The 20,946-nt window shown below is 43.4% G+C and overlaps 1 protein-coding gene across 8 annotated transcripts in view, besides 1 other annotated feature; it reads right to left on the reverse strand.

The window, feature by feature from the left end:
* Positions 1-20,946, reverse strand: part of TIAM1 (TIAM Rac1 associated GEF 1) — a 440,670-nt gene that overhangs the window by 270,439 nt on the left and 149,285 nt on the right. The gene's annotated exons all lie outside the window — the stretch shown is intronic.
* Positions 14,966-15,166: a silencer, noted in NCBI's record as "peak4404 fragment used in MPRA reporter construct". NCBI's record gives its function as "represses an SCP1 promoter by STARR-seq MPRAs in K562 erythroleukemia cells {active_cell/tissue: K562}" and the evidence as "EXISTENCE:reporter gene assay evidence [ECO:0000049][PMID:32103011]".

Raw genomic sequence — 20,946 nt, forward strand, 5'->3', positions numbered from 1 at the left:
TTTAACACAAATTTAAGGTAAAAGCAAGAAGACAAGGGGAAAGAAGGGGCAACCACGGGCTGCCAGCAGCAAGAAGCACTGGCTCTGCTAAGCCAGGGTTCAGAAAACTTTCTCTGCAAAGGGCCGGATGGTAAATATTTCAGGCCTTCCTGGCCATAAGGTCTGTGTCACACGCACTCAACTCCACCACTGGCACATGAAACGAGCCACGGGTAATACATACGTGAATGGGTGTGGCTACATTCCAATAAAATTTTATTCGTGGATGCTGACATTTGAATTTCATATAACTTTCCCATATCACAAAGTATTCTTCTTATGATGTTTTTCCCAACCATTTATTTTATTATTTTTATTTTATTTTATTTTATTTTATTGAGATGGAGGCTCTCTGTGTCACCCAGGCTGGAGTGCAGTGGCACGATCTCAGCTTACTGCAACCTCCGCCTCCCGGGTCCAAGCAATTCTCAGCCTCCCGAGTAGCTGTGATTACAGGTGCCTTCCACCACACCCAGCTAATTTTAGTATTTTTAGTAGAGACAGGGTTTCGCCATGTTGGCCAGGCTGGTCTGGAACTCCTGACCCCAGGTGATCTGCCTGCCTCGGCCTCCCAAAGTGCTAGGATTACAGGCGAGAGCCACCGCCCCCAGGCTTCCCAACCATTTAAAACCATAAAGTCTATTCTTAGCCTAAGCAACAAAACAAGGCAGTGGCCGGCTAGGTTGCTGAGCCACATGCTACAACACACTAGGCATACACAGGCTGCCCAACTACATTTATATTCATTTGAACAGACTGGTCGGCTAGACAATCAAAGTCCCATGCGTTGGATACTACCATTTAATCTCTTATTTTCAACCTCTAGAGAGAGAAAGATTTTAACCAATATTTGATGAACTGTCTAACCTACTTAGTGAGAACAAGCTTCAATTTATCTATCTTAGCCCTGGTATTTTTCTATATAAATCAATTCCTAAAGCACATATTTATAACTATAAATGTCAAGCCTCCACTCTGAGTTTTGGGCTCTTCATTCTGCACTCCACCACACATTATGTCCAACATGACAAATTTATTTCATTACATTCAGTAATCAGGAATATTTCCAGTGGTGGGAAAAAGCCTTGGAACATATCACTTTTCAGTATGGCTTCCTCATTTTAAAGATATATTTTTAAAAAATCTATTAAGAGGAATTTTTTAGAAAGCACAAAGACTTTCTTAAGCAAGAATGAGGGAACGTGAGAGATTTTTGGAGAATTTATACTTACTCATTCCTCAGTACCCACTTTGTGGATGCAGTATTATGGACATAATGTTTTCAGTTTTGATTAAATAATTAATGATGTAAAAACAAGGTATTATTTAGATTCTCTCCAATCACCAGGAGAACAGAACCTCAGGACTCCAACTTTCTTGTTTTTCTATATTCTCTAAAGCAATTTGAGAATCTCACTAATGGACAAGTTGTAAAACTTTTGTATTACTGTTATCAAAAATGACAAGTGATTTACCAGTATACACGTTCACTTCACTATTGTACCCTTTAAGATAATATCTTCCAATTTAAACTTGATCTTGGCTTTGCCTTTTCCTATGTATTGAAATTACATTAGCTCTTCTCATCAGCATCCCCCCGAAAGTAAGAATTAAGAATGCAGGAGCACCTATACAATCACAGATGTTATGAGCAGGAAGAAGGTCATCAGACAAGATTCCAGGAGGTGAAACATTGTATCAGCTCAGAAGAGAACCATGATCCGTGCAACCAAAGACTGAAATTTTTAAGCAAAACTTCATTATGGTTCTTGAAAAGTAAAGTCTAAAAACAACAACAAACCACCTTGTATAAATGTATATTTTGCTGTTTGATCGAGCCCAGAGCTTTTTAAATGAACCTATGCCAGGAAACACTGATGTTCACCCATTAAAAACAACTTTTTAATTGCATGCTGCTGAATTCTAATACATTCCAAATGGAGGCTCCTCATTCTCCTTTCTTCATGCAGAAAGTGACGACTAGCTTTTCCAGGATCAAAACCAGACCAGTATTCAAAGATTCGTAGTAGGACCTGGGCACGCACATCAAAGGGACTTCTCTGGCCTTCTACCAGCCACGCCTCTTCTTAAAGGCAGACAGGCAGATACCTTTCTAGATGATACCAGGGCACCCTGGACCCAATGCCCACGTCCAGGCCTTCTAGGGGCTCTTTCTTAGTTCTGACCTGGCAAGGTAGAGGACGATGCTACGTGTGCACTCATAGGCCCGAGGGCAGCTCTTGGTGGGGATTTTAAAGGGGGCTTCTTTGTGTACGCTGTTGTGTCCATAAAACCTTTCATTGTCCAAGATGGAGCCAGGGGTGGGAGGATAAGGAAAGGTCATGGCTGGGGCTGGCTTTTCCCTACCTTACGTTCCCACATGGTATTCCAAGGAGTCTGACAATTGTAACTCTGAATCCAGCTTTCCAAGTCGTTATGAAAGTCTAGGCCGGGCGCAATGGCTCACCCCTGTAATCCTAGCACTTTGGGAGGCCGAGACAGGCAGATCACCTGAGGTCAGGAGTTCGAGACCAGCCTGGCCAACACGGCAAAACCCCGGCTCTACTAAAAATACAAAAATTAGCTGGGCGTGGTGGCAGGCGCCTATAATCCCAGCTACTCGGGAGGCTGAGGCAGGAGAATCGCTTGAACCCAGGACGTGGAGGTTGCAGTGAGCTAAGATCGCACCATTGCACTCCAGCCTGGGTGACAGAGCAAGACTCTGTCTTAAAAAAAACAAAACAAAACAACGGAAAGTCTATTTGTCAAGGTGGGAGAATATATTTTATTTTACAATTTGTTACCTGGACTTACAACTTTTACATATCCAGACAAAGGTTATATGTGCCTCCATTTGTATTCTTGCCCGCAGGCCTGCTTCCTTCCACCAAAAAGAGACCATGAATACCTAACTTTTTTTAAAATTAAAAGCTGCTAGACATATAAAGAGAGTCCCTGATTTAGGACGGTTAGACTTACAGTTTTTGACTTGACAATGGCACAAAAGCAATAAGCATTCAGTAGAAATCATACTTTAAGTACCCATACGCCCATGCTGTTTTTCACTTTCAGTACAGTACTTAATACATTACATGAGATATTCAACACTTTATTATAAAATAGGCTTTGTGTTAGATAATTCTGCCTAACTGTAGGCTAATGTAAGTGTTTTGAGCACATTTAAGGTAGGCTAGGCTAAGCTAGGATGTTCGGTAGATTAGGTGTATTAAATGTATTTTCAACTTAAGGTATTTTCAACTTACGATGGGTTTACTGAGTCATATTCTCATTGTAAGTTGATGAGCATCTGTACTCCCATTCTCAGAAGCCATGAAAACACGGTATTTTAAGGTTAACTTGGTATTGTCTGCCTTGTTAAAAAGTCGAAAATGAGGCTGGGCGCGGTGGCTCACGCCTGTAATCCCAGCACTTTGGGAGGCAGAGGCGGGTAGATCACCTGAGGTCAGGAGTTCAAGACCAGCCTGACCAACGTGATGAAACCCCGTCTCTACTAAAAATTCAAAATTAGCCGGGCATGGTGGCAGGCGCCTGTAATCTCAGCTACTCAAGAGGCTGAGGCAGGAGAATCGCTTGAACCCGGGAGGCAAAGGTTGTGGTGAGCTGAGATCGCGCCATCGCACTCCAGCCTGGGCAACAAGAGCAAAACTCTGTCTCAAAAAAAAAAAAAAAAAAAAAAAGTCGAAAATGATCTTCAATACCTGATATAGTGTTGTCATTTGTCCCCTCCAAATCCCATACTGAAATGTGACCTCCAATATTGGAGGTGGGGCCAGGTAGGAGGTGTTCTGGTCAAGGCAAGGGCAGATCCCTTGGCTTGGTGCCATCCTTGCAGTCATGAGTGAGTTCTTGCTCTGTTAGTTCAAGTGAGAGTGGGTTAAGAGAGACTGGCACCGCCTACTCTCTCTCTTGTTCCCTTTCGCCATGTGACATGCTTGCCCCTTCATCTTCTGCCATGAGTAAAAGCTTCTTGCAGCCTCACAGAAGCCAAGCAGATGCTGGTGCCTTGCTTATACAGAACCGTGAGCCAAATAAACCTGTCTTCTTTTTTTTTTTTTTTGAGACTGAGTCTCACTCTGTTGCCCGGGCTAGAGTGCAGTGGTGCGATGTCAGCTCACAGCAACTTCCCCCTCCTGGGCGCAAGCAATTCTCATGCCTCAGCCTCCCAAGTAGCTGGGACTACAGGTGCCCACCACCATGTCCGGCTAATTTTTGTATTTTTAGTTAGGACAGGGTTTCACCATGCTGGCCAGGCTGGTCTCGAACTCCTGACCTCAAGTGATCCGCCCACTTTGGCCTCCCAAAGTTCTGGGATTACAGGCATGAGTTACTGTGCCCAGCCCTCGCTTTAAAAATTACCAAGCCTCAGGTATTGCTTTACAGCAATGAAAAACCGATTAACACAGTACTTTGCCAGAATTATTAAAAATGAAAAACGAATGCAACAGGCTGTCCACTGACGTCCACTTCTGAGGCTGCTTTTGAGGCATTACTATTCCATGAGCTCAACACCACCCTGTCCTCCCCAGCAGCATCCTCTGCCTCTGCACCCAGAACACGCCCAAGAGACATGGAGGCTCCCAGAGCTGAATGCAGTCACATCGAGCCTTATAAAACCTGTGTGTGTCCAAACTGCTGGATTCCACATGAATGTCGGGAATCCTCTCCACCACCACTGAGAACCATGGCTAAAGTATATCTGAATTTTTTAAGAGAAGAATTTCAGTACCTCCTTGGACTTCAGTTGTTTGTGAGGACTGCTAAATAGCCATTTTCTAAAGCTGAGAGTGTCTGTTTGAATGTGGAGTATCATAAAAAGTCACTTAAGGAGTGGTTTTAATGGAAACAGAACCAGCACTCAGAATGCCCTAAATCTTTCCTGTCTTTACCACTGACTGTTATACTATATAATAACCATATGGCCTGCATTTCCAGGAGAGTTCCAATTTCATGTATCTTATTACATTAAATTAATAAATAGGCTTATACTGATTCTTAAAGATTTTCTTTTTTTAATATTTTCCAAATGTTATACAATAAAGCACGTTTTTTCATAATCAGAAACAAATAAATTTCATTTATATATTATGTGAATATACATTTATATTTATATTCTGTGCATACAAAAACCCGCATGTGAATGCTTATAGCAATTTTATTCATAATTGCTAAAACTAGGAAGCAGCCACAATGTCCTTCAGCAGGTGAAGGGATAAATAATCAATGGTATATCACACAAAGGAATATTATCCGGCACTGAGAAGAAATGAGCTAGCAAGCCACAGAAAAATATGGAAGAACCTTGAAGACATATTACTAAGTGAAAGAAGCCCATCTGAAAAAGCTACACACTGTATGACTCCAACTACACGACATCCTGGAAAAGGTGAAGCTATAGAGACAGTAACAAGAGCAGTGGCTGCCAGGAGATGGGGGAAAGGAGGGATGAACAGGCAGAGCACAAAAGATTTTTAGGGCAGTGAAACTAATTCTGTGGGATACTATGTGGTGAACACACGTAATTATACATTGGTCCAAACGCACAGAAGGTACAACACTGAGAGTGAAGCCTGGTGTAAACTATGAACTCTGGGTGGTGATGACAGTTGAATGTTGGTTTTCTGTTTGTAAGAAATGCACCAGTCTGGGGCAGGATGTTGGTGGTGGGAGAGGTGGGCCAGGAGTGAGAGAGGAAGGGGCGTACAGGAACTCTGCGCTTTCCACCCAATTTGGCTGGCAACCTAAAACTCCTCTAAAAATGAAAATCTACTCATTCTCTCTCTCTCTCTCTCTCGCTCTCTCTCTCTCTCTCTCTCACACACACACACACACACACACACACACACACACACACACACACACTGCCAGAGGAGCCAGGGCAAACACACAGGGCTCCTGTTTATGGCCACTTGCCTGAAGCAGTGGGCAATCATTCCCTCCACCTCCTTGCCCACAGCCTTGGTTTCTTCTTCCTTCCATAGTATAAAGTGATTCTAGTTGCTACCCATGAGCTACAGGCATTATTATAAAACTAGTAAGTGGGGCCAGGCATGATGGCTCATACCTGTAACCCCAGCACTTTGGGAGGCCAAGGTGGGTGGATCACTTGAGGTCAGAAGTTCAAGACCAGCCTGGCCAACACAGTGAAACCCCGTATCTACCAAAAATACAAACATTAGCCAGGCATGGTGGCGCGTGCCTGTAGTCCCAGCTACTTGGGAGGCTGCGGCACCAGAATTGCTTGAGCCTGGGAGGCAGAGGTTGCAGTAAGCTGAGATCGCGCCACCACACTCCAGCCTGGGCAACAGAGTGAGACTCTGTCTCAAAAAAAAAAAAGAGGAGGTGGGGGGAGAACAAAACTAGTAATTGGAGCTCTCTGGAGATGTCACTACGTCTCAGGGGGCTACTTCTAGAGAAGTGACAAATGGCCCCACACACAGATCACTGCTTGCCTCCAGAGAGAAGCAGTCCACTGGGGACACGGTGCCGCTGCAGCCATGTGACAATAAGGATGGCTTTCACACCAGAGCAGCAGGGAAAATTGGACAAGAGGGGCCCTCGGAGACCGAGGTCATCTAAACACAGCCAATCACCAGATACGCCACAGAGGCGAAGAGAAGGGCCAACCCTGCATTTTCTGCCACAGGAGAATGTATTGTTCTCTCCAACTGAGAAAGCAGATTGCGTTACATTTCTCCACATAAATGAACTTACACAGAGGGCATGGGGGTAGTAAAAGGTGCTGGACGAGAGAATAAATATTGACTAAAACATCTATCTTGGGGAGGGGGCGCATGCGTTCCCCTGGCTGTCGCGTGAAAATTTTTGCTTTATAAATTGGGGAGGTTATTAAAAGGACGTGAGATGCATGGAATTAATGAACAACTATCTGTGAAAATCTATCCTAATTAGGAAACAACATGTACATGCCTGAAACAGCAGGCCAGTAGGGAGGGCCTGAACAGAAAGAAAACAAGGAGCGAAAACAAAATAAGGCTGTCTAGCAAATGAGGGCATCATTCTTCCTCTAGATTTAAAATTCAACAGGAACATGGCTTTTTTCCTCCGTAATGGCTGTGAAATTGATTGGGATATAGGCTAACAGAGGTCCCCAGAGTGCTAAACTAAATTAGAGGAAGTCTTATAATTACAGCTAGCAGTTAATTATTATATGATGGGAATTGTAATCAAAGTAACAGATACACTATTATTTTCCATCTTCTCTGCAAAACACATCTAACAAAGTCTCTTAAGAGGAGTAGAGGGGCTTGTTTGTGGTTCAACTTATGCCGATTCCTACTGCCCAAAATCCAAACAAGAACCTCGCTCCTGCAGGTGACTTGGGCTGTGACCTCGGCGCCTGCCCCATTCCTGCCTTTCCCACGCATGCCTCCTGCCAATCTTCAATACATTCGCGGGTCCCTCTGCCTGGAATGCTCTTTCTCTAGATTTCCACGGGGTCTCTCCCTCCACGCAGACCTCAGGATCACACCTCCTGGGAGAAGTATCCACTGACCACCCTGTCTAAAATAGATACCTATCACCCCCTCCATGTTTATTCTCCTACCTGCCCCACTGTAGCTCCCGAAACACTGTCTGGCTCTGAGTTGGTCCTCAATAAATATAAAAAATAATAATAATAAATGTAAAATGTTTAAAATTAATATAATAATATGAAATATTATATAATATCAATTATATTATCAATTATAACAATATTATATTTAATAATATTAATATAAAACAAAATATTGGGCCAGGCGCGGTGGCTCATGCCTGTAATGCCAGCACTTTGGGAGGCCAAGGTGGGCGGATCACTTGAGGTCAGGAGCTCAAGACCAGCCTGGCTTCACATGGTGAAACCCCACCTTTACTAAAAATACAAAAATTAGCCGGGCCTGGTAGCAGATGCCTGTAATCCGAGCTACTCAGGAGGCTGAGACAGGAGAATCACTTGAACCTGGGGTGGAGGTTGCAGTGAACCGAGATCGCGCCACTGCACTCCAGCCTGGGCGACAGAGTGAGACTCCGTCACACACACAAAAAAAATTTAAATAATATTTTATGCCCTTCCACTTTTCTAATAGTGGAAAGAAACCAAAGCAAAGGGATCCTTCGATCGCTGTGATATGATTGTATTTAAGCGAACAACATTCTAGCAAGACCTATATTCAGACCAGCCTGGAAGTGATAAAGTCTGTGTTCAACTTAGCAGCAGATCTTTAGATGTAACATCAAAGAGGTAATGAAAGGGAATTAGGATTTTTTAGGTATCTTTTATATTCTAAGCACTATGTTTGGCTCTGAAGAGATATGATCTCTTAACAAAGAACTATCATGCCCGTTTGTAAGTGTCATTTTATAAACAGCAAAAAACTGAGGCAGAGAAGTTGTTCAAAGTCACATATACAGCAAGTGCCAAATTCCTATACAGATCTTTTTGCATCCAAAAGCTCTAAGGGTCCATGTTTCAAACCGCTTCCTTCCTCTTTTCCTTTCTCTCCTCTTTTCCTCCCATTTTAATTCCTTTGAAAAAAATTCAGAAGTAGAAACCAATATACAAAAATCTTGATACCTGCCACCCAAAATGAACATTTCTAATTTAAATCATGAAAATCACATTGACCAAATCAGCTCCTGGTTTAAGTTGCCCAATATCCCCGCGCCAGAAATGAGATAACAGGACAAAGAGCTGGTGAAACCTCATTCAAATTACAATTTATGGCCATCCTTCCTGGCTTGGTGCCAACACGTTATGATCCAAATCTGTTAGGGGGAGTCTTCCCAGTCAAAGGCAGCTCTGTGTAAAACAAACCTCTCTATACAGAAAGAAACGCTTTCATTCCATTCCAGAAGTCAGAATGTGAAGATGCTGGGCTGCTTTCTGCCAGGGCAAAACGAAAGACATGGAAAACAGGGAAATGAGAAGGGACAGAGGCAACAGGTCTCACACTAACCATTTACAGATAACAAAGGAACTTCAGAATTCTTCCCTGCTACCTTGTAGAATGGATGAACCATGGAATACCTGATAAACTTCTAAGCAAGCTTCAGCCTGCCCCTGTGCAGATCTGCACAGACTCCAAGTACCTCCCACTGCCATGGGATGTACATGGACCAATGTGTTGGCTTCCCTTTGACCTCCCCCCTACAACCTCCCCCAACCTCCCCTCTGCACCAGCAGAATGGGACCCAGGGGCACAGGAAGTGCCTAATCTCTGCAAGCAAATGTCAATCTTCAGGGCAAAAAAAAAAAAAAAAAAAAAAGCTTTGTTCTTTAGAACCAGAGTTGAAACTAGGTTGAAATGACCACATCAATTCACTAACTTGAATTCACAAAGGAAGCACCTGTTTTCAGAAAGGCGTGTAAAATTGTAAAACAATCTTACTTTTTATGCCATCCTTCTGAATGAAGAACTGTGGATAAGCTGGGCCTGGGGGAGACCTGGTCAGTTTTCCCACACAGTGGTAATGGTTTGTGTTACTGAAGAAAATGTCAAAAATTTTTTCTTAAATAAACCACCACATAATTTTACTCCACTAAAAATGAGAAATAACATAGCCATGGGAAGTAGCCCACATCTTTTGTATTCTCCATCACACTTCAAATATCTAAACACCTGACCAAGCACATAAAGAAATGGTGGATGTGCTATCACTGCAAAATTCCAACTGTAGGCAGAAGTTTGCCATCCTCATAGCACAGTACACAGTTCCCAGACAGGAAAATTCTTTGTGCTCCCTCAGTAAAGGAGAAAAATTATGACCAATTACAATAACAAGGGCATTAGCCACTTTGATAAATATCTAAGCAGGCTTCCGTCTGTGCCTGGGCAGATATGGAGAACGATTTAGTGTGATATGAGAATACAGAGTTGATCACTTATCTTGTGAAACTGAAGAAGAAAGAGAAATGTAAACGTCAGCATCTCTTATCACCCAGGCTCTGACTCTTCTCAAACTATTAAAAATAGCCTTTGGGATGGGCCCGGTGGCTCACGCCTATAATCCCAGCACTTTGGGAGGCTGAGGCTGGCAGCTCACCTGAGGCCAGGAGTTCGAGACCAGCTTAGCCAACATGGAGAAACCCCATCTCCACTAAAAACATAAAATAAATAGATAAATAAAATAAAATAAAAATAGCCTTTGCCAGAAACTAAAAAGAAACAGCAAAGCCAAAATTAATTCCACAAGGCGGAATTGGTTGCTTTACTCATTTATACTATGTATAATAAAGAGTAATAAATTTCTATTATTATAAATCTTACTTTGACATTTTAGATATAACATCAATGCCCCCTGAGATATACTAAAATTTGTCTATAAAGCAAGGAAATTATTTTTTTTTAATATTGGCTTGGATAAGTTCTCTCTTTAAAATTTATATGAGAATATCCTTAAATACTTCGTGCCATTTCAAACCGATTTTGATTTAAGATATATTACAATCTATTAAAGTTTTAAAAATAATAAATTAACGTTTAGGTCAACTAAATTAAATAATTATATACAATACATTATTGCTTTAAATCCCAAGGCAAAGAAAGGAAATTGCTTCTTCAGGCTGACAGAATGAATTGTATGCATCCACTGTGGGGGGAAATACCTTCTTCATCTAAAAGAGCTTGCCCCAAAAGTTTCTATTGCTCACAGCAAAGGTTGCAAAATGTGAACATTTCTAAAATGGAGGATTTTGTGTCTTGAGATATATGTTATAGCCCAAGAGATGAGTAAACCATAGCTGTTACAAAGAGGTGTTATCTGAAATTTTCCAAGCTTAAATTCAATATGACATTTAGCATTATTAAAACCCATTAAGATTTTTGACTTTGAGTTGATACAAGCGAAATGAGTGGCCCCCTGCACAAATAGACATGCCTTTCCCTGGATCATCAAAGCCAATATACCAGCTCATAAATGTCTCTCACAAGTTTTCTTTATTCCCCTAACTCAAATAAAGCTAACTTCATGGTTGCCTTGGAAAACAGACCTTTTTCAGAGAATGTTGACACTTTCATTGATTTCTAAGGGCTCCTGATAGCGTATGGGCACACACATACACTCACTCACACATATAAGTCAGAGAAGCCTGACTGTCAGCTGTATATGATCCTATCTACCAAAAAAAACAAACAAAAAAACAAAAGCTAAACCAGAATTTTAAAGAATTGGAAGGAAATATAAGGGGAAATATAAGGACAACACTCTTTTTTTTTTTCCTTTTCTTTTTTTGAGACGGAGTCTAGCTCTGCCACCCAGGCTAGAGTGCAGTGGCGTGATCTTGGCTCACTGCAACCTCCACCCCCTGGGTTCAAGCAATTCTCCTACCTCAGCTCCCGAGTAGCTGGGACTACAGGCACCCACCACCACACCCGGCAAATTATTTTTGTATTTTTAGTAGAGACAGGATTTCACCATGTTAGCCAAGCTGGTCTCAAACTCCTGACCTCAGGTGATCTGCCCACCTCAGCCTCTCAAAGTGCTGGGATTGCAGGCATGAGCCACCGCACCCGGCCAGACACCACACTTTCTGATTTATAAATTAGAGCAGTGGCAGCACATGCTGAAATATACACTCCAGGAGAGCAAGATCTTTGTGGATTTTCTGCACTCCTATATCCCAACTGCCTAGTAAAGTGCCTTTGAATGGATTTTAGCTCATGGAATCCTCTCAACGACATGATGAGACAGGTACTATTCCTACCCCATTTTACAGATAAGGAACTGAAATTCAAAGAACTTCGTTACCAAAGTGACACAGCTGGTTAGTGGGGCATAGAAGCCTTTAGGTCTTGCCCAGTCCTCTTCTCTGTCTTTACCATTTGGTTACTGTATTCCTGTCATCCAGTGACTTCAACACACATCAGAAGTCCTTGACTATTAAAGTGGAATCCCGGCCGGGCACAGTGGCTCATGCCTGTAATCCCAGCACTTTGGGAGGCCGAGGTGGGTGGATCACCTGAGGTCGGCAGTTCGAGACCAGCCTGACCAACATGGAGAAACCCCGGCTCTACTAAAAATACAAAAATTAGCTGGGCATGGTGGCAGGCTCCTGTAATCCCAGCTACTCAGGAGGCTGGGCAACAAGAGCAAAACTACTCTTGCCTGGGCTACTCCAGCCTGGGCAACAAGAGCAAACTTCATCTCAAAATAAATAAATAAATGAATAAATAAATAAATAAAGTGGAATCACTGCAGGGTGAGTCTGCATTTTTTAAGTCGAAGTTAGGAACTCAAAAAGTAAACAAGTGCATATGAAAAGATGAATTCATATGCACTAAGTTAATTCAAAAGCATGAATGAAAGTATTTTTTAAACTAAATATTCATTGGTGATGTCATGTATCCAATGACCTCTGCCCCTAGTCAGTGTTAGTAACCAGCTCTTCATCAGCTACAGATAGACTCCAGCACTTCTGTACCTCTTCCTCATTCTACTGTCTAGACCTGAAATTTTAACTGGGAAAAGCTGGAAGCTAACACTAGGCAAGAAAAAATGGGCCCTGCCCTCCTATTGTAGCCTAGAGCCGAATATAAACAATGGTAAACTGTTCCTCTATTGGGATATGGCAGCCATGTCAATCATTGCTTCCCAACAATCCCACCTTTTGGAGAGCCTGCCTGGGCAAGTCTGAGACCACCCATCATACATACACCCTTGCATCCCAGCAGAAGCTAAGTGAATACATGACTCAGTATTGGCCAAACAGACTCTCACTTAAAAATTTGGAATTAAGATTGGGCTCATGCCTGTAATCCCAGCACTTTGAAAGGCTGAGGCTAAAGGATCGCTTGAGCCCAGGAGTTCGAGACCAGCGAGACCCCATCTCTACAAAAAATATAAAAATTAGCTGGTCATGGTGGTATGCACGCCTGGAACCCTAGCTACTCAGGGGGCTGAGGCAAGAGGATTGCTTGAACCCAGAAGTTCGAGGTTGCAGTTAGCTAGAACCGCACTACTGCCCTCCAGCCTGGGAAACAAGGCAAGACTCTATCTCTTAAAAAAAAAAAAAAATTGGAGCCCGGGCATGGTGGCTCACACCTGTAATCCCAGCACTTTGGGAGGCCGATGCGGGTGGATCAGGAAGTCAGGAGATCGACATCATCCTGGCCAACATGGTGAAACCCCGTCTCTACTAAAATACAAAAAATTAGCCGGGCGTGGTGGTGCGCACCTGCAATTCCAGCTACTTGGGAGGCTGAGGCAGGAGAATCGCTTGAACCCAGGAGGCGGAGATTGCAGTGAGCCGAGATTGAGCCACTGCACTGCAGCCTGGCGACAGAGTGAGACTCTGTCTCAAAAAAAACAACAACAACAAAAAATTGGAATTGAGACACTGTGAGACTAAGACAGTTACCTAGAGGAAAGGTCAGGTAGTATTGGACTAGAGCAACATTGCACCAAATCAAAGCCATTTGGTAAGCAGTAAATCTGAGATGTCGTCAGAGACCAACCAAGAAAGTCAGTCTGCAAGTAGGAACAAGAAAATGGCAAAACCTTGCAGAGAAAAGCAAAAATTGACACTATGGGGGCCTCTGAGAGATGCAGGACCAACGTCTCTTCCTGATTTTCCTGCTTTACAAGGCCCGCACAACCCTGGCCGTCCACGACATTTCCCATATCCCTTCAGTAACACCATTTTTGCATGAGTTCACTTGAGAGAGCTTCTTCACATTTCATCATAACCAAAAGATCCCAAGAACATAGTATTTCCCCCCTCAGTTTCTCCCCGTTAGAAAAACTGACTAAAGGCCGGGCGTGGTGGCTCACGCCTGTAATCCCAGCAGCACTTTTGAGAGGCCGAGGCGGGGGTATCATGAGGTCAGGAGAGCGAGACCATCCTGGCTACCATGGTGAAACCCCGTCTCTACTAAAAACACACAAAAAAATTAGCCGGGCGTGGTAGCAGGCACCTGTAGTCCCAGCTACTCGGAAGGCTGAGGCAGGAGAATGGCGTGAACCTGGGAGGCAGAGCTTGCAGTAAGCCAAGATCATGCCACTGCACTCCAGCCTGGGCGACAGAGTGAGACTCCGTCTCAAAAAGAAAAAGTGACTAAACAATGTATCTTCCTGTACGTCTCCAAGAAGACAGGGGCTCACAGCACCACGGCTAATGTGCAGGGCTCATAATCACAGACCACTGCCAACATCCCTGAAATGCCGAATCCCAAAAGGCAGCATGACTCAGAAGAATTTGAATTATCCCAAGGTTAACAGTTAAGTATAAAGATGATATACTTTTTTATTTTTTTAAGACAGAGTCTTGCTCTGTCATCCAGGCTGGAGTGCAGTGGCACAGTCTTGGCTCACTGCAACCTCCGCCTCTCCGGTTCAAGTGATTCTCCTGCCTCAGACTCCTAAGTAGCTGGGACTACAGACGCGTGCCACCACACCCGGCTAATTTTTTGTATTTTTAGTAGAGACGGGGTTTCACCATGTTAGCCAGGATGGTCTCGATCTCTTGACCTCGTGATCCGCCCGCCTAGGCCTCCCAAAGTGCTGGGATTACAGGCGTGAGCCACTGCTCCCGGCCGATGACATACTTTTTTAAGAAAAAATTCCATAGTACAGAGAAAACAAAAACAACTCCCCGCTGCTTTTTTTGAAGAAAATCTACCAAGCTCTCAGGCTGTTTTTCAGCTATTCAGGTAGCGCTACAGAACAAGGCCAGTCTGACTCATGATAGCTCAAAATTATAAAATAATCTACCATGGATTCAGCCTTACTGGTTTCAAATACACATAACATACAAACAGATGCCCAGATAAATACATAAAGAAGTGAAGCTAGAATAAGGAATAGTCTAAAAATTGCTGGGGGCTGGAGAATAGAGAGATCCCTTCTGCTTGATGCATCTTGCTTGATACTGGAAGAAAGAACGAGGAGAAAAGTCAAAAAATGAATTAGACAGTCCCTGCCCTCAAAGACTTCCTAGTCTAGCTGAGAAGACAGTCACCCTCACAAATAGCTCAAATCCAGGGCAGATAGTGACAGAGGCTAATTGGAAGTCTCAGCAAAGCGTGATGGGATCACGGAGGCAGGAGCAATTAATCACAGGCAAGCCAAGCAGGCGACACTTAGCCGCAACTCACACAGGGCTGTCATTGTAAAAGGAAATCCACTCTAACAGTTATCATGAAATTGCATCCATGATCTTTGAGTCTTATCAGTCCATACCTTTTATCTGATTAATCGAAATCCCACCCTTTTCCAGGAAAAACAACATTTGTTTATCATTCCCTCCAAGAGCTCTTAAGATGACACAATGACCTTGAATTATCCTTTTATCTTTAGAAAATATCCTCCCTCTGAAAAGGCAACAAAAAAGTGAAGATAATAACCCCAAGGAGTTCAAGACCATAAATGAAAATAACCAAATTGCTTGGTCTCTATCCCATAACTGAGCTGCTGGACTTCACAGTCCACTCAACTGTTTGCCGTGTTAAAAATACTTAAGCAAACAGAGCTATGCTAAAAAGCCATGTGTCTATACAACATTTATTACAGTCTTAGACAGAGGTTCTGTCCCTCATCAAAAAACACTGGTCAAATCCTACACTAAGTCCTATTTTAAAGAGGAAAAAAAAAAGTGTATGCCAAGCTAATGAAATTCCAGTATGGTCTTTTTTTTTTTTTTTAAGAGATGGGTCTCTTTATATTGCCCAGTCTGGTCTGGAATTCCTAACTCAAGTGGTCCTCCTACCTCAGCCTCCTGAGTAGCTGGGATTACAGACTTGAGCTACCACTTCCACCTATTTATTGTCTGCAATTCTGTGACTTGCATTGTGCCAATTTCAATTTCCTGGTTTTGATAATGCAGTATAGCTAAGTAAGATGTCACCACTGGGGAAAGCTGGGTGGTGGGTACCCAGGACCTCTCTATTATCTTTCAACTTCTTGTAAGTAAGTCCACAATTATTTAAAAATAAAGTTTAAAAAAACACTCATGACATTTATCATTTTGCAGAGCTCTACCAATATCCAACAGCTCCCTGTTCCTCCTAGATCCTAATATTTTGATATTGGCCCTTAAAACTTGCAGATACAGGCCAGGCATAGTGGGCATGCCTGTAATCTCAGCACTTTGGGAGGCCGAGGCAGGAGGAATGCTTGAGCCCAGGAGTTTGAGACCAACCTGGGCGAGAGAGTGAGACCCCCTCATCTCTACACAGAAATAAAAAAATTAGCCAGATATGGTGGTGCACAAACTGTGGTCCCAAGTACTCGGAAGGCTAAAGGCAGGAGGATCACTTGATCCTAGGAGGTCAAGGTTACAGTGAGCCATGATCATGCCACTGCACTCCAACCTGGGTGACAGGGCAAGACCGTGTCTCAAAAATAAATAAATGAATAAATCACAATAACAAAAAACTTGCAGGTACAATTCAGCAAACACATGACCCTGCTCCTGGGAGGGGCAGCCAGAAAGGGCATTTCCAGCACAGTTCACTCTCTTCAAGAGTCCAAGAAAGTCAATGTCCTCAGCCTATCCCCACCCTGGACCGGTTCCTTTGCTTTGCTCTGCCACTAATCCCCCTTCCCGAGCCCACTTCCCCTGTATTAGTCCACTTTCACACTGCTGATAAAGACATAACTGAGACTGGGCAATGTACAAAAGAAAGGTTTATTGGACTTAACAGTTCCACATGGCTGGGGAGGCCTCACAATCATGGTGGAAGACAAGGAGGAGCAAGTCACATCTTTCATAGATTGCAGCAGGCAAAAAAAAGAGCTTGTGCAGAGAAAGTCCCATTTTTAAAACCATCAGATCTCATGAGACCCATTCACTATCACAGGAACAGCACGGGAAAGCCCCGCCCCCATGATTTAATCATCTCCCACTGGGTCCCTCCCACAACACATGGGAATTATGGGAGCCATAAGATGAGATTTGGGTAGGCGACACAGAGCCAAACCATATCACCTCCCAACACACACAACACAGATGGGAGACATTTAAAAGTGATATTAAGAAAAGCAAAACCAAGTCAGAGTCTCCAACCACAAAACTCACCTCCACCTTCCTAAGCCTTAACTCTAATAAACCTCAACCATATTTGCTTTAAAAGTATAAAAGACTGGGCTCCTATGGAATTCAAAACACAAGACATACTCAAAGAGATTGCCGTCATCCTAAATTCTTCTCAAAGATACACAAACGTGCAAGCCCTGCTGGTGATCACTGGCTTAGCAGTGATTAATATGGCTCAACACCCACCCCCACCCCACTCAACACAAATTGAGTCCCATGGCTTAAATGTTATCTTAAAAAAAAAAAAAAATCACTCCTAACATTGTCACTCTTGAGCAGGTTCCCAAGATAAAATCCAGACATCATTATAATTTATTAAACTTTTGAGAACTTTAATACTAGGCCTATAGAGCAATGATTAAGAGAAGGAATTTGATGCTAAAGAGGTCAAATCCCTTTAGCTGGATGCATATAGAACCCACCCTTTAAGACCTGAATAATCTTAAGCAAGTTACTTAAACTTTCTCTATAAAATGGAGAGGATGATAGGATTAGTTAGAATCCTGCTTCATTATAATTCTCGGGAAGATTAAATAATTAATACAAAAAAGCTTTAGAACAGGGCCTGCCCTACAGCAGCATGTGTTGTCTATTATTATTACTAATGCAATAAACTTTCATCAAGCACCTGGGTCCCAAACTCTACGAATGCAAGATAAAAGAAGGCACAGCCATGATTCTGGAAGAATCTGCATGTTACTAAATATTCAGACAGAGAAAAGTCAGACCATGCTGGTGCCACCAGCCCATCAGAGCTCTCAGCCCTGTAGGTAGAACTTACGAGTCACAAATAAAACTCCAACAAAGCAGACATGAAATGTCAGTGGTATGTGTCACTCTACCCCTCCTCATTCAATTTTCACCTTAAAAAAAATCAACAAACTCCCAAATACACTGCCCTGTTTCACACAAAGTTTGTGCCATTAGATGAGTTTTTTAAGTTCTGCAGATCACTCTATTAAAACACCAGACATACCAATAACACTGCAACTACTGGCCAAAACCATTCTCCTCCCTTCTTGTCCTTCTTTCCCAGGACACTTTTAAGGTCATACACCAATGACATCCCCAACATTCCCATGAGCAAGGGAAGGATTCCCGGGAAAGTGACAGCTCTCACTAGGAGGCAGAGCTCCGTGCCATATTGATGAGGTTCTCTCGAAACATCTCAAAAGCAGGGATCCTTGTGGTTTCTGAAGTGTTGCCAATCACACAAAGAAAGCCTAATGCATGGTTTTCAAGTCAGTTTTATAAAACGATTCCAAACCTCTAAGTGTGTGAAGCCAAAATTGTAAACGCTGCTAAAATCCCTGGAGTTGTTTAATATTGTTTATTACGATTCCTCTTGGCACCTCCAAAGTCTCTCATCCTGGGCTCATGGAGCATTTTATTAATTTACACACCATCAGTGGAGTTCACAGATGGTGGGACCGAAACACGAAGAAGCGGCTCAAGCACCTCGGCAAAGATCCCAACAACTTGTAAATAAACATAGCTCTAAAAGACCCAGAAGTCTCAACCTCCTCTCCCAAGCACTACTGCTACCACTGGTGCTGAGGTGAGCCACTGGATACCCTGGTTAAAACCAAAAGAAAGTCCGTGGCTCGACCCATCGGGAGCAGGCTCCAGTTCTAAGGTTAAGGATTTCAATACTGTCCTTTTCAAATGAGTCATTTGCTCTTAATTTTTTTTTTTTTTTTTTTTTTTTTGGACAGAGTCTCGCTCTGTCACCCAGGCTGGAGTGCAGTGGTGCAATCTTGGCTTGCTGCAACCTCCACCTCCCTGGTTTACGCAGTTCTCCTGCCTCAGCCTCCAGAGTAGCTGATATTACAGGCGCCCGCCACCACGCCTGGGTAATTTTTTTGTATTTTCAGTAGAGACGGGGTTTCACCATGTTGGCCAGGCTGGTTTTGAACTCCTGACCTCAGGTGATCGGCCAGCCTCAGCCTCCCAAAATGCTAGGATAACAGGCGTCAGCCACCGGGCCCAGCCTAAATCAATCCTTTTAAGGATATTTAAGGAATCAGTGAATGGCTGACCTGTCCAATGTGCCCACAGAAGGAAGTAAGAGCTCTTTGGAAATTTGCATGCTTGCAATTGAAAAGGCTCCTTGAAATTTTGCTGTATCTCACATTGCAGAAAACAAATCCAAACTTAGGGCAAAGACATCAGTTCTGTTAAAAACCTAGGATTTACTTCTACATTATTCAGGGTATTCTTGAAGCACCTGGTTATACTGTTTACTATGTGTCTGTCTATCCTTCTTTTGTTTATATTTTAGTTATTTTTACATTTGTGGCCAAAATCTTACACTTGTAAAGAAAAGAGAAAGACAAAGAGAAGAAATGAGAGTCTGTCAACTGAAAATTTAGGTCACTGACATCAAGTGGTCATCCTGATATCAAGGGGACAAGCCAGGATGGTGAAAGATGGGAACCACTCAGGCCCTTGAATTCTCTTCTTTTATAAAGAAAAGTTCAAATTACGGACTCTCTTTCCCGAGTCAGCTAAAAGGATTCAAAATTACAAAGAGCCAAAACTCCAGTTTTGAAACACTCTTCCTGTTTATAGTGAATAAATTCCCCAAATGCAGAGGAATTAGATTTTAATGAAAGTCTCCACTATCATGCTATTGCTCAATAACATTTTGGCTAAACTGGCTTAACCCTTCCCACAACTTAGAAAATTCTGACACTCTCATCAACGTGAATGGGGAGCAAATTCCTATTCTTAATATCTAATCACTTTTATTTTTCATCTTCTCCCCATGTCTTAGATTAGTTCTATTTTGAGGACACTGATGAGCTCTGTTTACTGTTCTCACACGAAGACAATGGTTCTCTAAGTATGGTCCCCACAAGAGCGTCAGCATCACTCAGGAACTGTTAGACATGCACATTTTCGGGCCTGACCTGAGACCTAATAAATCGGAAACCTAGAAGTGGGGCAATCTATGGTTTACAAAGCTTCCAGGTGGCTGTGATGCAACACACTTTGAGTGCCACCGCTCTCAGCCACCGAAACACCATCACCTGTGTCACCCACATGCCCCCCCCTCCAGGCTTCATCAGTGCGGTGGGTCCTAAGAATGTCTCTGTAAACACATTGCTCCCACACTCATGCTCCTCACTCCCCTAAATGGCAGCAACTCAGACCTTCTCCTTTTCTTTTTTTTTTTTTTTTGAGACGAAGTCTCGCACTGTCACCCAGGCTGGAGTGCAATGGTGCCATCTCAGCTCACTGCAACCACCACCTCCTGGGTTCAAGGATTCTCCTGCCTCAGCCTCTCCAGTAGCTGGAATTACAGGCATCCGCCACCACACCCAGCTAATTTTTGTATTTTTAGTAGAGACGGGGTTTCACTATGTTGGCCAGGCTGGTCTTGAACTCCTGACCTCGTGATCCACCCGCCTCGGCCTCCCAAAGTGTCGGGATTACAGGCGTGAGCCACCACACCCAGCCAGACCTTCTCCTTTCTTAGATCTGACAGTCTCAAAGTTGAGTTTTCTCACAGACTGCCCCTCCACCCCACCTCCTGCTCCCCACATCTCTCTAGGTTGAGGTTCCACAGCCCACAGTCACTCCGCACACCGACTTCCTGCTCCTTGGATGCCAAGCACACAGGACTCCATGCTCAGCTCCACACACCAGCATCACCACCCCTCTCAAAGCCCCATTCAGACCTCCGCACCACAGGCCCGCTTCCCTTGCAGCCATGGCTTGTCCCCCAAGTTCTGCAAATACACCTCTGCCCCTCTCCATCTCTCCTCCAGTGCCTTGCGGCCTTCTCTGGGCTGGAGGAAAAAAATCCATGCTCTCCCAAAGGCCTCCCTCCCTGGTGGGGGGCAGGGGACAGC

The sequence above is a fragment of the Homo sapiens genome, chromosome 21 (genome assembly GCF_000001405.40).
Source record: "Homo sapiens chromosome 21, GRCh38.p14 Primary Assembly".
NCBI lineage: Eukaryota > Metazoa > Chordata > Mammalia > Primates > Hominidae > Homo > Homo sapiens.